Source organism: Homo sapiens, chromosome 9, assembly GCF_000001405.40.
Source record: "Homo sapiens chromosome 9, GRCh38.p14 Primary Assembly".
Lineage (NCBI taxonomy): Eukaryota > Metazoa > Chordata > Mammalia > Primates > Hominidae > Homo > Homo sapiens.
In genome coordinates, this window is record NC_000009.12 from 92,429,246 (window position 1) to 92,445,603 (window position 16,358).

Genomic DNA, 16,358 nt, shown 5'->3' on the forward strand with positions numbered 1-16,358 from the left:
GCCTCTGTACCAATTCAGGGGAATAATCTTACTCTCACCTCCCAGACCTTACCTGGTGAACTCATCAGCAGGCCTCATATGGCCTATATGTGAAACAAACTTTTATTAACATAAAAGCATGAATACAGAAACACTGAAAACAGAAGACAATCAGTGAATACTTGGCTAAAGTCTACAGAACACAGAGAAGGTAAAGAACAAATGACTGTTATCCTTAACTCAGCATCTGAATTACCTGAATATAATCTTGTCATTTTCAGGCCAAGTGCAGTGGCTCACTCCTGTAATCCCAGGACCTTGGGAGGCTGAGGAGGGCGGATTACCTGAGGTCAGGAGTTCCAGACTAGTCTGGCCAACATGATGAAACCTTGTCTGTACTAAAAATACAAAAATTAGCCGAGCGTGGTGGTAGGCGCCTATAATCCCAGCTACTTGGGAGGTTGAGGCAGGAGAATTCCTTGAACCCAGGAGGCGGAGGTTGCAGTGAGCCGAGATTGCACCATTGCACTCTGACCTGGGTGACAAGAACGAAACTCCGTCTCAAAATCATCATCATCATCATCATCATCATCATCATCTTGTCATTTTCTTGTGAATCCTTCCAGAGATATTTTGTACATATAGAAGCAAATACATATATTTAGAAATCATTATTTCTCAAAAAGCATTCTTGTATGAAATTGGAGATGTTTCTACTCTTTTCCTAATGTAAACAATGGTGCAGCTAATAAACTTTTATAAGGGACTGCATATGTGTGCTAGTGTGTCTGAGGGGTCAATCCTCAGGCACAGATGTGATTGTTCTCCTCAGAGGCCCTTCCAAGTGGCACTCCCAGCTGTTAAATCCTCCGCATACCATTTATCAGGTTTTAATCTTTTAATGATCTGGTGGATTAAAATGGTATCTTATAGTTGAGTTCTTTTTTCTCTTACTATGGATCTGGTTGAAAATCTTTTATATTTTACAGCCCTGTATGCTGCGTTTTCTGGAACTGCTTATATCTTTTATTTCTATTGTATTGTAGATCTTTTGCTTAATGACTTCTAGGAGTTTTTTTATGTATAAGGGAAACTGTGTGCTATGACTTTTAACTATTATTTTCCAATCTGTAATTTGCTTTTGATGGTTTTGCCATGAAGACTTTTTGTTATGTCATTGGGTTTATCCATCTCTTCTCTCTCTTTTTTTTTTTTTAAGATGAAGTCATTCAAGCGATTCTTCTGCTTCAGTCGCCCGAGTAGCTGGGATTACAGGCACCCACAACTACACCTGGCTAATTTTTGTATTGTAGTAGAGACAGGGTTTCATCATGTTGACCACGCTAGTCTCGAACTCCTGAACTCGGGTGATCTGCCCTCTTCGGCCTCCCAAAGTTCTGGGATTACAGGTGTGAGCCACCACGCCTGGACAAGTTTATCCATCTCTTCTTAACAGCCTCCTGGCTTTTGTGTTATAGTTACTTCTGCATTTGCTGAAAAATTCTTCCTTGATTTCCACTGTTCATTTTAGGACTATTATGGTTTCTTTTGTTGTTGTTGTTGTTGTTTTGTTTTTATTTATTTGTTGTTGAGATGGAGTCTCGCTCTGTCACCAGGCTGGAGTGCAGTGGCACGATCTCGGCTCACTGCACCCTCCGCCTCCTGAGTTCAAGTAATTCTCCTGCCTCAGCCTCTCAAGTAGCTGGGACTACAGGTGCACACCACCACTCCCAGCTAATTTTTGTATTTTTAGTAGAGACAGGGTTTCACCATGTCGGCCAGGATGGTCTCGATCTCTTAACCTGGTGATCCGCCTGCTTCAGCCTCCCAATGTGCTGGGATTACAGGCGTGAGCCACTGCGCCTGGCCAGTTTCTTTATTTTTAAATTTAAAAAATTTTTTTGCATTTGAAAATCTGGTGTTTAGTGTTTACAGTGCTTGTTAAGTATGAGATGTGATCCCACTGAATATGTTGCTGGCATTAATTGAATAGTCCACCTTTCCCCTATCAAATTTGAAATGGGACTGTTTCCATACACTAGATTTCTTTAACTATTGAAGGCATTTCTCAACGTTATATTATTTCCCTTTGACATGCCTGTCGATTGATGCACTGTTGGCATTTGATGTGGATAAGGGTACGTTTGTTTAGATCTCATTAATACTTGATACTTGATATTCTCTAAACTTTTTCCAATTTGGTAAGTATTCAGTGGCATTACATTGTGATTTTAACTTCCATTGGCCTGCCTATTAAAGAGATTGAACATCTTTTCGAATGTTTTTCAGCCATTTGGATTTTCTCTTCTGTTGTATGCCTGTTGATGTTTTTTACTCATTTTTCTTTTCTTTTCTTTTCTTTTTTTCCAAGACAGAGTCTAGCTCTGTTTCCCAGGCTGGGGTGCAGTGGCATGATGTTGGCTCACTGCAACCTCTGCCTCCCAGGTTCAAGCAATTCTTCTGCCTCAGCCTCCCGAGTAGCTGGGATTACAGGCGCCTGCCACCACGCCTGGCTAATTTTTGTATTTTTAGTAGAAATGGGGTTTCACCACATTGGCTAGGGTGGTCTCAAACTCCTGACCTCATGATCTGCCCACCTCAGCCTCCCAAACTGCTGGGATTGCAGGCGTTAGCCACCATGCCTGGCCTTTACTCATTTTTCTATTATGTAATTTTTTTAAATTGATTTTTACAAGTTCATTATATCTCATAGATACTAACCTCTTGCTAGTTATACCTATGACTGTGTGTTACAGTTTTTCAGTTGATTCTCTTGAATTTTTTAGGCACATGTGGATCCCATGAAAATGGTAATTTTGGCCGGGCTCAGTGGCTCACGCCTGTAATCCCAACACTTTGGGAAGCTGAGGCGGTTGGATCACCTGAGGTCAGGAGTTCGAGACCAGCCTGACCAACATGGCAAAACCCGGTCTCTACTAAAAATATAAAAATTAGCTGGGCGTGGTGATGGGTGCATGTAATCCCAGCTACTTGGGAGGCTGAGGCAGGAGAATCGCTTGAACCTGGGAGGCAGAGGTTGCAGTGAGTCAAGATGGCGCCATTGCACTCCAGCCTGGGCGACAAGAGCGAAACTCCATCTCAAAAAAAAAAAGGAAAAAAGAAAATGGTAATTTGACCTTCTCTTTAATTGCTTTTAAGGGACTAGCTCTTTGTTTGAAAGACATTTTGTAAATCTTTAGTATCTAGACAGCTGGACTATTTATTGTTCGGTCTTTCTCCCAGTTAGCTCCTATAAACCACGAGATGAAAGTACATTTCAAATCAATAAGCCATGTGACAACAAAACTAGCAGATGTTGTAGAATCCTTGCCAAATAAGGAGGATTGGGTATAAAAGCCAGCACACAACCAATCACAGGCTGCAGAAGAAGCGAGAGAGCACTCATAGGCACGGGGAGCAGCCAGTACTCCACCCTCACAGAAGCAAAGTCCCAAAATTATATACACGATTAAAAAATTATTTTCTACATAATTAATTCAAAGTTTCTTCTACAATGACTGGTAACTTAGTACTTAGCATTTAGCAGTTTTAGAAATCACATTTTCAGGACTAGGAAAGGGTGGAAAGATGCATTTTACTTGGTGAAATCATTGGGAAATATTTTTGTTGTTGAGGAGGTGCATATAGAAGTAGACCCTTTAATTTGGGGAATACATAATCCATTGTATTAGTTAATTGGAGGAAAGGGCAGGAAAAAGATACAAAAAAAATTTTGGATTTGAATCTTTCATGGTATTGATTTATTTTTTCTTCTTTGACTAAATAAAAAACATACCGTGAGATACCACAAAGCAAAAAGGCATTTGGGGAGTGCCTTAGTTCATCTTTTGCTACTATAACAGAATACCACGCAATGAATAATTTATAATGAACAGGAATTTATTTCCTCACAGTTCTGGAGTTATTGGGAAGTCCAAGATCAAGGCACCAGCATTTGGCAAGGGACTTCTTGCTGGGTTAAAGAGAGCAAGAGGGAGTGATTCCACTCCTGTAATAACAGCATCAGATAACCTAAATACTTCTTAAAAGTTCCCACCTCTGAATACTGTTATGATGGCAGTTAGATTTCAACATGATTTTTGGAGGAGACAAACATTAAAACCATAACAAGGAAGGAGGAGTAAATTCCTCCCGCAATCAGTTTTCGGTTTGACTGGTACTTGGTACAGACAGTGAGTCTCCCTAATTACATTTGAGTTTTTGTAAGGCAGCCTGATACCTTTTTTTCTTCTCTAATGTGGGGAAAAGGTACATTAGGCAGAAAGATTACGTTCTACAAGTTAATAAGGGATTATATAATTTGAGATACATTTATAAAACATTATTATTTGTAAAACATCTGAAATGTTTTATAAATGGTTGCTATGAGAACAATGAAAATGTAATTACAAAAATGTACCCTAGGCTGGGTGTGATAGCTCACGGCCTATAATCCCAGCACTTTGGGAGGCCGAAGCAGGCAGATCACTTGAGGTCAGAACTTCGAGACCAGCGTGACCAACATGGCAAAACCCCATCTCTACTAGAACTACAAAAAGTAGCTGGGTACAGTGGTGCTTGCCTGTAATCCCAGCTACTTGGGAGGCTAAGGCAGGAGAATCGCTTGAACCCGGGAGGCAGAGGTTGCAGGTGAGCCAAGATCGCGCCATTGCACTCCAGCCTGGGTGACAGAGCAAGACTTCATCTAAAAAAAAAAGTATACATTTTTTTAAACATCAACTGTTTAAAATACACTTATCTTATACTTTGTGCTCACCTTCCTTTAAATATCATTCCCAAAGCACACTAATTCTAGCTGAGCCAAGATTGAAGTCAGTATACAAAAATCCATTTTATTTCTATATACTAGAATGAATAATTGGAGACTGGGCGCGGTGGCTCACGCCTGTAATCCCAACACTTTGGGAGGCTGAGGTCAGTGGATCACAAAGTCAGGAGTTCCAGACCAGCCTGGCCAATATGGTGAAACCCCGTCTCTACTAAAAATACAAAAATTAGCTGGGTGTGGTGGTGCACACCTGTAGTCCCAGCCACTCGGGAGGCTGAGGCAGAAGAATCGCTTGAACCCAGTAGACCAAGGTTGCAGTGAGCCAAGATTGTGCCCCTGCATTTCAGCCTAGGCAACTGGGCGAGACTCTGTCTCAAAAAAAAAAAAAAAAATAGAATGAGTAATTGGAGATCGAAATATTTAGTTAACATCTAATAAGATTTGTGTAAGAATTGCATGCTGAAAACTGCAAACATTGAGGAAGATCTAAATAAACATAAGTATTGGCAAAAGGATAGACACATGAGCAGTGGAATAGAGAAAGTTCAGATATAAGCTTACAAATTTCTGATTAATTTATTTTTGCCAAAGGTAAGTCAGTGGAGAAGGAATCATCTTTTTAACAAATATTGGGAGAAAATCTCATTCAGAAAAGTAAAACTTTAAAAAAAAGAAATTGTTAAATTTGGAGGAAAACATCCAGAGATGCAAGATGATTCAGACCTTAATTTTTTAAAAAGTTTTCTGGGCAAGATGGGGTGGCTCACACCTGTAATCCCAGCACTTTGGGAGCCTGAAGCGGACGGATCACCTGAGGTCAGGAGTTCAAGAAGTTCAAGACCAGCCGGGCCGACATGGCGAAACCCCATCTCTATTAAAAATACAAAATTTAGTGGGGCGTGGTGGTGCACGCCTGTAATCCCAGCTACTCAGGAGGCTGAGGCAGGAGAATTGCTTGAACCTGGGAGGTGGAGATTGCAGTGAGCCAACATCATGCCACTGCACTCCAGCCTGGACAACAGAGCGAGACTCCATCTCAAAAATAAAATAAAAAGTATACTGTACACTGTGTACAACCTTAGATGTGTTTTGGCAATGCTTGGTAGACATAATCCAGGGATGAAACTCTTATCAGGCAATCTATGGTCATCTTTTTCAAGATTCAGATGTTTGTCTTTATCACCCTTATTTTTCATTTTATTTATAAATCCCCAAGGTTCAGAGTGATTAAAAATACTGTCTGACCATTTTATAAAACCATTCTCAAGTGGGCCCTGGTGTAGATTTCTCCTATTACCTTAGATTCTACTGCAATCATTTACTTTTTAATTAAAAATGTTATTTCAATTTCATTATTGAGTCACATGCAGTTATGAGAACTAATACAGAAAGAAACCGTGTACCCTTTACCCAGTTTCCCCTAATGATAACATCTTGCAAAACTATGGTACAGTATTACAATCAGGATATTGAGGTTGAGATAGTAGAATTACAGAACATTTTTATCCCTGCAAGAGTTTCACATGTTGCCCTTTTATAGGTACATAAATCTCTTGCCCTTCCCCCTTCATCTTTAAACCCTAGCAAAAACTAATCTTTTCTCAATTTTACAGTTTTGTTATTTCAGGAATGTTACAGAAATGGAATCATACAGTATATAACCTTTTGGAAATGTGTCACTAAACATAATTATCTGGGGATTCATTTGAGGTGCTGCATGTATCACTGGTTTATTCCTTTTTATTACTGAGTGATATTCCATGAAATGGATGTACCATAGTTGGTTTAACTGTCCACTGAAAAAACATCTGGGCTGCCTCCAATTTGGGCTAATACTAATAAAGTTGTTCTAAACATTCATGTACAGGTTTTTGTGTCAACATGAGTCTTCATTTCTATGGGGTACATGCCCAGAGTATAATTGCTGGGTCGTATGGTAAGTGCATGTTTAGTTTTTAAAAACCTGGCAAACTATTTTCCAGAACAGCTGCACCATTTTACATTCCCACGAACAGTGTATGAGTGATTCAGTTTCTCGACATCCTCACTAACATTTGATGTTTTAACACATTTTAATTTTAGCCATTCTAATAGGTATGTAGTGATATATTACTGTAGTTTTAATTTGCATTTCCCAAATAGCTAATGATGTTCAGAATCTTTTCATGTGCTTATTTGCTATCTGTGTATTCTTTTTAGTGAAATGTCTGTTCATGTCCTTTGCCTATTTTCCCATTGAATTTTTTATTTGCTCTTGAGTTTTATCAGTTCTAGATACTAGAACAAGGAGTACCTTTGTAGGATATGTAGTTTGCAAAGATTTTCTCCATTCTATTGCATGCCTTTTCATCTTCTTATCAGCATCTTTCACAGAGCAAAAGTTTTAAATTTTGGTGAAGTCCAGTTTATTGATTCTTTTTTCTTTTGTAGATCATGCTTTTGGTGTCATATCTAAGAACTCTTTACAAAGTCCTAGCTCTCAAAGATCTTCATCTATGTTATTTTCTAAAAGTATAGCTTGACATTTTACTTTTATGATTCATTTCGAGTTAATTTTTATATAGGGTTTGAAAGGTTTTTTTTGCTTATGGCTATTCAATTACTCAATTCATTTGTTTAAAAGACTGTCTTTCCTTCAGTAATTGCTTTGGTGCCTATGTCAAAAATCAATTGTCTGCACTTAATGCTATTTCTGGCTTTTCTTTTTCAGTTCTATTTATTTATACGTCTGTCTTCCTGACAACACCACCTAGTCTTGATTACTATAGTTATATTGTAAGTCTTGAAATCAAGTAGAATGACTTTTCTCACTATATTCTTTTTTCAGAATTGTTTTGGCTATTCTAGTTCCTTTGCCTTTCTACATAAATTTTAGAATGATCTTGTCTGTATCTGTAAGAAATCTGCTGGGTGTGGTGGCTCACACTTGTAATCCCAGCACTTTGGGAGGCCAAGGCGGGCAGATCACTTGAGGACAGGAGTTTGAGACCAGCCTGGCCAACATGATGAAACCCCATCTCTGCTAAAAATACAAAAAAATTAGCCGGGCATGGTGGCAGGTGCCTGTAATCCCAGCTACTTAGGAGGCTGTGGCAGGAGAATCGCTCAAACCCAGGGGTCGGAGGTTGCAGTGAGCAGAGCTCACACCATTGCAATCCAGCCTGGGCAACAAGAGCGAAACTCTGTCTCAAAAATAAATAAATAAATCTTGCTGGGATTTTGGTAGGAATTACATTAAAACTGTATATCAATTTGCCTTTTTTTAATTGGGTTTTTGTCTTATTACACATTGTAAGGGTTCTTTGTATATTCTGGATATAAGTCCTTTATCAAATATATAGCTTGTAATATTTTTCTTCTAGTGTATGATTAGTCTTTTTCTTTTGTCTTTTTTTTTGTTTTGTTTTTTTTTTTTGGACAGAGTCTCGCTATGTTGCCCAGGCTGGAGTGCAGTAGTAGGTTCTTGGTTCACTGAAGCTTCTGCCTCCTGGGCTCAAGTAATCCTCCCACCTCAGCTTCCCGAGTAGCTGAGACCACAGGCATATGCCAACACACCCAGCTAATTTTTGTATTTTTTGTAGAGACAGGGTTTCGCCATGTTGCCCAAGCTGATCTTGAATTCCTGGGCTTAAGCGATCCACTCTGCTTCCCAAAGTGTTGGGATTACAGGCATGAGCCATTGTGCCTAGGCTTTTCATCTTCTTAATAGCCTTTTGGCACATAAATATTAATTTTGTAAAGTCCAATTTATAAGTTATTTTTTGGAGACACTGTCTCACTCTGTTGCCCAGGCTGGAGTGCAGTGGCTCAATCACAACTTACTGCAACTTTAACCTTCCAGGCTCAAGTGATCCTCCCACCTCAGCCTCCAGTGATCCTCCCACCTCAGCCTCCAGTGATCCTCCCTCCTCAGCATCTCGAGTAGCTGAGACCACAGGCATGTGCCTCCACACCTGGCTAATTTTTTTATTGTTTGTAGAGATGAGGTCTCCCTGTGTTGCCCAGGCTGGTCTTGAACTCCTAGGCTCAAGTGATCCTCCCACCTCAGCTACCCATAGTGCTGGGATTACAGATGTCAGCCACTGCACTGGGACCAATTTATGATTTTTTATCTTTTATTTTTCATGCTTTTGGTGTCAAGTCTAAGAACTCTTTGCCTCAGGTCTTAAATATTTTTTCCTGTTTCTTCCAGAAGTTTTATAAGTTTTATCTCTTATATTTAGGTCTATGATCTGTTTTGATTTAATTTTTGTGTGTGGTGTGAGGTTAGGATCTAAGTTCACTTTTTTGCATGTGAATATCCAATTGTCTCAGCACCATTTGTTGAAAGGACAGTTATTTCTCCATTGTCAAAAATTAGTTAACCATAAATGTGCAGGTTTGTTTCTGATCCTCAGTTCTGTTCTATTGCTCTATGTGTCTGCCTTATACCAGTGTCATGCCCTCCTTATTAGGGTAGTTTTACAGTAAGTTCTGCCATTGGAGAGTATACATCCTCTAACTTTGTTGTTCTTTTTCCAAATTGTTTTCACTGTTGTAAGTCCTTTGCATTTTCATATAATTTTTGAGATTGGTGTGTCTACATCTACCATTATTAAGATTTCATAATGATTGAGTGCTTAGTATTTAAACATTGCATTTAAACTGCTTCATTTTTGACTGGGTGTGGTGGTTCTTGCCTGGAATCCCAGCACTTTGGGAGGCCAAGGCAGGTGGATCACTTGAGGTCAGGAGTTCGAGGCCAGCCTGGCCAACATGGTGAAACCCCGTCACTACTAAAAATACAAAAATTAACCAGGCATGGTGGCATGTGCCTGTAATCCCAGCTGCTTGGGAGGCTGAGGCAGGAGAATCTCCTGAACCTGGGAGGCAGAGGTTGCAAAGCTGAGGTTGCATTACTGCACTCCAGCCTGTGTGACAGAGCGAGACTCCATCTCAGTCAATCAATCGGTCAATCAATAAACTGCTTCATTTGTTATTGCTACGTGGTATGGCCTTAGTAAATGCTTGGTGCTGTTCTTTTGTTCTTATTAAGATTTTCCAGTATGGGGAAGTGACTTAGATTTTTTTGCATATGAAGCACAATTCTGTTTGTCCGTTTTCAAGTATTTCATCTTTTTGTTTTCCCAAGTATTTTTATTAGATCGTGTGTTATTATTTTTGCTTCTAGTTAGAAGTTATTGGCTAAATTTTAAAAATATAATAATAGTGGCTTAAGACTATTTTAAAGTAGACCTGGCTTTCTTGTCTTTATTTTCAGACTTCCATAGCTTATTAGAATAAGACTGCCCTCCCATGGTGAAAATTAGGTAATTTTTTTCAGTAAATTTAATGGGCTTATTTTTGGAAAAAATAATTTAAAATATATATATTTTTAAAATATGTGGGAAATAAGTGATAAGCTATTCTGTGTTTCCAAATAAACAGAGATTGTAGAATCCTCCCCAGCCCCCACTAGCTATAGAGTCACAGTGGCTGACCAGCATGGGAGGCCCTGGCCACAGCTTTTCATGAGTTGGTGGTCTTAAGTCACCTGTCTCTCTGGAGAATCAGTTTTATAATCTTAAAATGAAGAGGTTTCAATGAGGCTGCTCCACATCTAAACTTGTGTGGCTCCTTTGTCTTTCTATGCCACCTTCTCTTTGTCTTCCTATTATTTTATGGGATATCGCTTTATATCTAGTCCTCTTTCTCAATCCCATGTTAAAATTCTTGGAATGCTCTTGAGTCTTATTGGTCTGATCCCCTCTATATTTTCTGTAGAATTATGTAATATTACTACAAGTACCATTTGGGTGAAAGGAACTCTTTGATCTTCAAAGTAGTGAAATGATTCTAAGTATGGATAAGAGTGGTGAATATAGAGACCTAGGAACCAGAATTTCTGTTACTTATGTTTATTCAAGTTAATATTTACAGTGGCCTCCCCTTATCCACAGTTTTGCTTTCCCCCATTTGAGTTACCCATGGTCAACCATGGTCCAAAAATATTAAATGGAAAATTCCAGAAAGAAATAATTCATGTTTCAAATTACATGCTATTTTGAGTAGCCTGACGAAGTCCTGTGCTGTCCAGCTCTGTCTAGTCCAGGACATGAATCATCCCTGTGTGCAACATATCCACACTATATACACTCACCTCCCATTAGTCACTTAGGGTTATCAGATCACCTGTCATGGTATCCCAGCACTTACGTTGTAGTAAACCTTATGTCAAAGAGAATCTATAACGGGGTGCCTAGTCTTTTGGCTTCCCTGGGCCACATTGGAAGAAAAAGAATTGTCATGGGCCACACATAAAACACACTAACACTAGTGATAGCTGATGAGTTAAAATAAATAAATAAATAAATAAATAAATAAATAAATAAATCACAAGAAAACTCATCATGTTTTAAGAAAGCTTACGAATTTGTGTTGGGCCACATTCAAAGCCATCCTGGGCTACAGTGGGCCATGGCTGTGGGTTGGACAAGCTTGATCTATAAAGTGCTTCCCTTAAGTGAAAACTTTTCCCTTAGTAAAAGTTCTCAACTTAATAAGGAAAGAAAAAGAATGGTATGGTAAGAGTGCTAACATCTGTAGTAAGACCAAATCTCCTATCTGTAAAATTGTGAAGAAGGAAAAAGAAACTAGTTTAGTTTCCTGTTGCACCTCAAACTGCGAAAGTTATGACCACAATTAATGCATTATAAGTATTTAGTTAAGAGGGAAAAGGCATTAAATCTGTGAGTGGAAGACGTGAACAGAAATGTGTTTTGACTGACAACAATCAGGTTTTGTACTTGCTGTGGTTTCAGGCATCTACAGGGGATGTCTTGAAACATATCCCCCAAGGTAAAACCGAGACTATTGTTCAGTAAGTCCTCACTTAACATCGTCAATGGGTTCTTTGAAACTGCGACTTTAAGTGAAATGACATATAATGAAACCAATTTTACCATAGGCTAATTGTTATCAAACAAGTGTTAAGTTCCTGTGGCATATTTCTGGTTATAGAATCATCACCGAACTTCGTAATGAAGACCCAAAACACTTCTAATATTAAACATTGAAATAAATGTGAGCTATCTGTATGTTTAAGAAAACGTTAATAAAAAACAAGTGCATGAATTTTTGTATTTTATTAGTCATACTTTTGGATGTTACTTACATGGTATGTAACTACAGTGTTAAAATTAATCAAGCTACATATTTATCATCTATGTACTTTTCTATACATATATCAAACATCAATAGAAAGTTTATAAGAAGTCGACAGTATGGATTCAACTACTAATTTATAGGAAATGCAGACAGAGGAATATGTTAAAGTACACCACAAGTACGCAGTCAGCAAAATCTAGACTGTGGGAAATGCCTGTGAGACAAACAACTTGGTTTCTCCATCAAATAAAATGTAAGGAAGAAAAAAAGGGATGAAGGGGAAATGTATAGGTTAAAAAAGACTTAAAAGGTATATTGGCCAGGTGCAGTGGCTCACACCTGTAATCCCCACACTTTGGGAGGCTGAGGCAGGCAGATCACTTGAGCCCAGGAGTTCAAGACCAGCCTGAGCAACATAACAAGACTCCACCTCTACAAAAAACACAAAAGTCAGCCTGGCATGATAGCGCGTACCTGTAGTCCCAGCTACTCAGGAGGCTGAGGCACGAGAGTCACTTCAACCGTGGAGGTGGAGGTTGCAGTGAGCCGAGATCGCGCCACTGCACTCCAGCCTAGGTGCCAGAGTGAGACTCTTAGGAAACAAAGCAAAACAAAACAAAGACTTAAAAGATATATCAACTTATGACATCTGTGTGGGCCTTATGTGGATACTGACTCAACAGACAAACGAGTTTAAAAATTGTGGAACAGTTGGCAAGTTGAACATTTGCTGGGTTTGATGATAGTAAGGAAATATTGTCAATTATTTTTTGGTATGGTAATTGTATTGTAGTTAATGTTTTAAAAAGTAGAGAGAGGTATTCTTTCTAAGGCCGAAATAACCCCTACCCCAAAATTTGACAGGTGCATCACAAGAAAATAGAATTACAGTCCAGTAAACACACAAATAGTAAATAAAACATTATAAGTTAAAATTTAGATATATATAAAAACAAGGCCGGGCACAGTGGCTCACACCTGTAATCCCAGAACTGTGGGAGGCCAAGGCGGGCAAATCTCCTGAGGTCAGGAGTTCGAGACCAGCCTGACCAACATGGAGAAACCCCGTCTCTACTAAAAATAAAAAAATTAGCCGAGCGTGGTGGCGCATGCCTGTAATCCCAGCCACTTGGGAGGCTGACGCAGGAGAATCAGTTGAATCCGGGAGGCGGAGGTTGCAGTGAGCCGAGGTCGCGCCATTGCACTCCAGCCTGGACAACAAGAGTGAAACTCTGTCTCAAAAAAAAAAAAAAAAAAGAAAAAACAAAAAAAAACCACTCCATTATGATCAAGTGGGATTTGTATCAGGAACTCCAAATTGGTTTGAAAAAGCCCAGTGTGATTCATAATATTAACAGAATAAAGGAAAATTATATGAACATCTTAGTAAATAAAAAACATTTGATACAGTTGGGCACAGTGGCTCACGCCTGTAATCCTAGCACTTTGGGAAGCCGAGGCAGGTGGATCACGAGGTCAGATCAAGACCATCCTGGCTAAAACAATGAAACCCCGTCTCTACTAAAAATACAAAAAAAAATTAGCCAGGCGTGGTGGTGGGTGCCTGTAGTACCAGCTGCTTGGGAGGCTGAGGCAGGAGAATGGCGTGAACCCGGGAGGCGGAGCTTGCAGTGAGCCGAGATCACGCCACTGCATTCCAGCCTAGGTGACGGTGCAAGACTCCTTCTCAAAAAAAAAAAAAACATTGGATACAATTAAATACACCATTATGATGAAAATTTTTAGGAAGGTGACTTAATTTGATAGAGGGTATCTACAAAAATATCTGCCACTAACATAACATGAGGAAATACTCAACTCTCTTCTCCCCAAAAATTGAGAACAAGGCAAGAATATCTACTTTCATCACTCCTATTCAGTTTTATACTGGAGCTCCTAGCAGTGAGATACAGAAAAGAAGAAATAAAAGGTACAAAAGTAGAGAAAAAAGGAATAAAAACTAACTTTAATTACAGTAGACATAATTATATTTTTGAAATCCCAAAAGAATATACAAGCAAACTATTAGAATTAATAAGTCTAATTCTAATCAGTCTAATTCTAATCAGTGTAATCAGCAGGATTTAGCAAGACTGCTGATTATAATTTCAATATAAAAATATCAATTTTTACCATATATTACCAATACATAATTGGAAAATAAAACTTTAAAAGATCATTTATAATAGCCTCTGAGCTATCAGTAACCTGGGGTAACTCTAAAAAAAATGTGTAAGACTTTTATCAGAATACTACAAAACAATGCCAAGAAGGAAATTGAAGAATAGCTAGCTCGTTAACTGAAAGACTCAGTATTGCTAAGATGCCAGTTCTCTCCAAAATGATCCGAGATTCACTGCAATCTCAATAATAATCTCAGCTTGGTTTTTGTGTGATTTTACATGCTAATTCTGAAATTAATATGGAAATGCAAAGGACCTAGAATAACCAAGACAATCCTGAGATAAAACAACAAAGAGGACTTAGTATGTTACAAAGTTTTTTTTTTTTGTTTTTTGAGACAGAGTTTTGCTCTGTCCCCCAGGCTGGAGTGCAGTGGCGCAATCTCGGCTCACTGCGACCTCCACCTCCCTGGTTCAATCAATTCCCCTGCCTCAGCCTCCCAAGTAGCTGGAATTACAGGTGCACACCACCACGCCCAGCTAATTTTTTTTGTATTTTTAGTAGAGATGGGGTTTCACCATTTTGGCCAGGCTGGTCTCAAACTCCTGACCTCAGGCAGTCCACCCACTTCGGCCTCCCAAAGTGCTGGGCTTACAGGCATGAGCCACTGTGCCCGGCCACAAAATCTTAAGGTATAGACCTATGGGATAAAAATTCAGGCTTAGAAATAGACATTGAACTCAGAAATAAACTCGACATATATGATTGCTTGATTTATGATACATATACACTGCAAGTCAGTGGGGATAAGATCTTTTCAATAAATAAATTATAAATTTTCCTAGCCAGTCCTATATCACTCCGCTTTGAGATACTGAATCTATTTTAATCAAATTATAATCATAGCATATAATTTACATTTCATACAGTGAGTATGAAATGAGATGCCTCACTGTGGTGTGATTTTCCATTTCCCTGATGATTAGTGATGCTATCTTTTCATGTGTTTATTTGGTCATTTCTTTGGAGAAATGTCAATTTAGATCCTTCATGCATTTTTAAATTGGGGTTTTTAAGTATTGAGTGGTAGGAATTTTATTCTAGATACAAGTCCCTTATCGATAGATATGATTTGCAAAATTCTTCCATTCTATGAGCTTTTTTTTTTTTACTTTCTTGATGATGTCTTTTGATGGACAAAACGTTTTAATTTTGCTGATGTCTAATTTATGTCTTTTTTGCTTGTGATTTTGGTGTCACATCTAAGAAATCATTGCATAATCCAAACTCATGAGTATTTATGTCTGTTTTACGAGTTTAATAGTGTTAGCTCTTATGCTTATTATCTCTGTCCCATGTTAAGCTCTGCATATGGTGTGTTGTGAATGTATTGTCCCAGCACCATTTGTTCACTATTAAAGTAATGTTGGGGGTGCCTGTGGGCGAGTACCTGCAGGCAAAGCAGCATGGGGGAGGCTGCAGTGGGGAGAGGGCGTGTGCAAGCTGGTGCATGTCAGCAGTGGCCTCTCTGCTGGAGCACTCTGCCAGTTAGGTGAGCTCAGCCACTACAGGAGCTGACATGGGCCCCTAGGAGTTACCTGGCGGCTGTACTGCAAGCAGGTGTGGCCAGGCTGGGGACCCTGGAGAGACCAACAGACCAAACAGTGGTCCAGTCGGACCAGCCCTGTCTCCTGGAGTTCAGGTCCAGCAGTTCCCCTAGGGCCAACGTCTCCTATGGGAGCAAGTTGAGCCTAGGGGGATGGGCGTCCCTGTTCATGCTCCACTGCAGATGCTTCTGCACTAAACCCTCTGGGCTCCACACCAGCTGGAGTTCTGTGCCTACCACTTCTCTAAGCAGCTTTCTCTGCCAACTTAAATGTTCAAGGTGGTCACAGTGTCTCATCCTGCTGGGCTTCCAGAGGCCTCTGGTGAGAGTGGGTTTCTCCTTTGTCTGTTCAGTCACCCCTTCTTCAAGCATCATTGGGGTCCAGCAATGAGTCCCGGTGCGTGGTAGCCCCATGCAGGGTTCCCAGCTTCCTTCCCCTTGAGCCTAGCATCTCTGTCTTCCCTCATCTGCTCTTAATGCCTTCCCTCTGAAGATCTGCTAGGAGTGAGCTAGTCTTCCTGATGTCGTGGTCCCTCCATTGGAGATGTTCTCCCTGACTGCATCTAGTTGTCCACCTTGGAGCCTGACAAGAGTGTTTTAAAATGGACTGTAGTGATGGTTGTACAACCCTGAGTATAAAAATCAATGAATTGTATACTTTAAAGGATTGAATTATATAGTATATTAATTGTACCTCAATAAAGCTGTTATTGG

General features: G+C 39.5%; 1 protein-coding gene across 4 annotated transcripts in view; it reads left to right on the forward strand.

The window, feature by feature from the left end:
* CENPP (centromere protein P) overlaps positions 1-16,358 on the forward strand; it is a 295,062-nt gene that overhangs the window by 103,778 nt on the left and 174,926 nt on the right. The gene's annotated exons all lie outside the window — the stretch shown is intronic.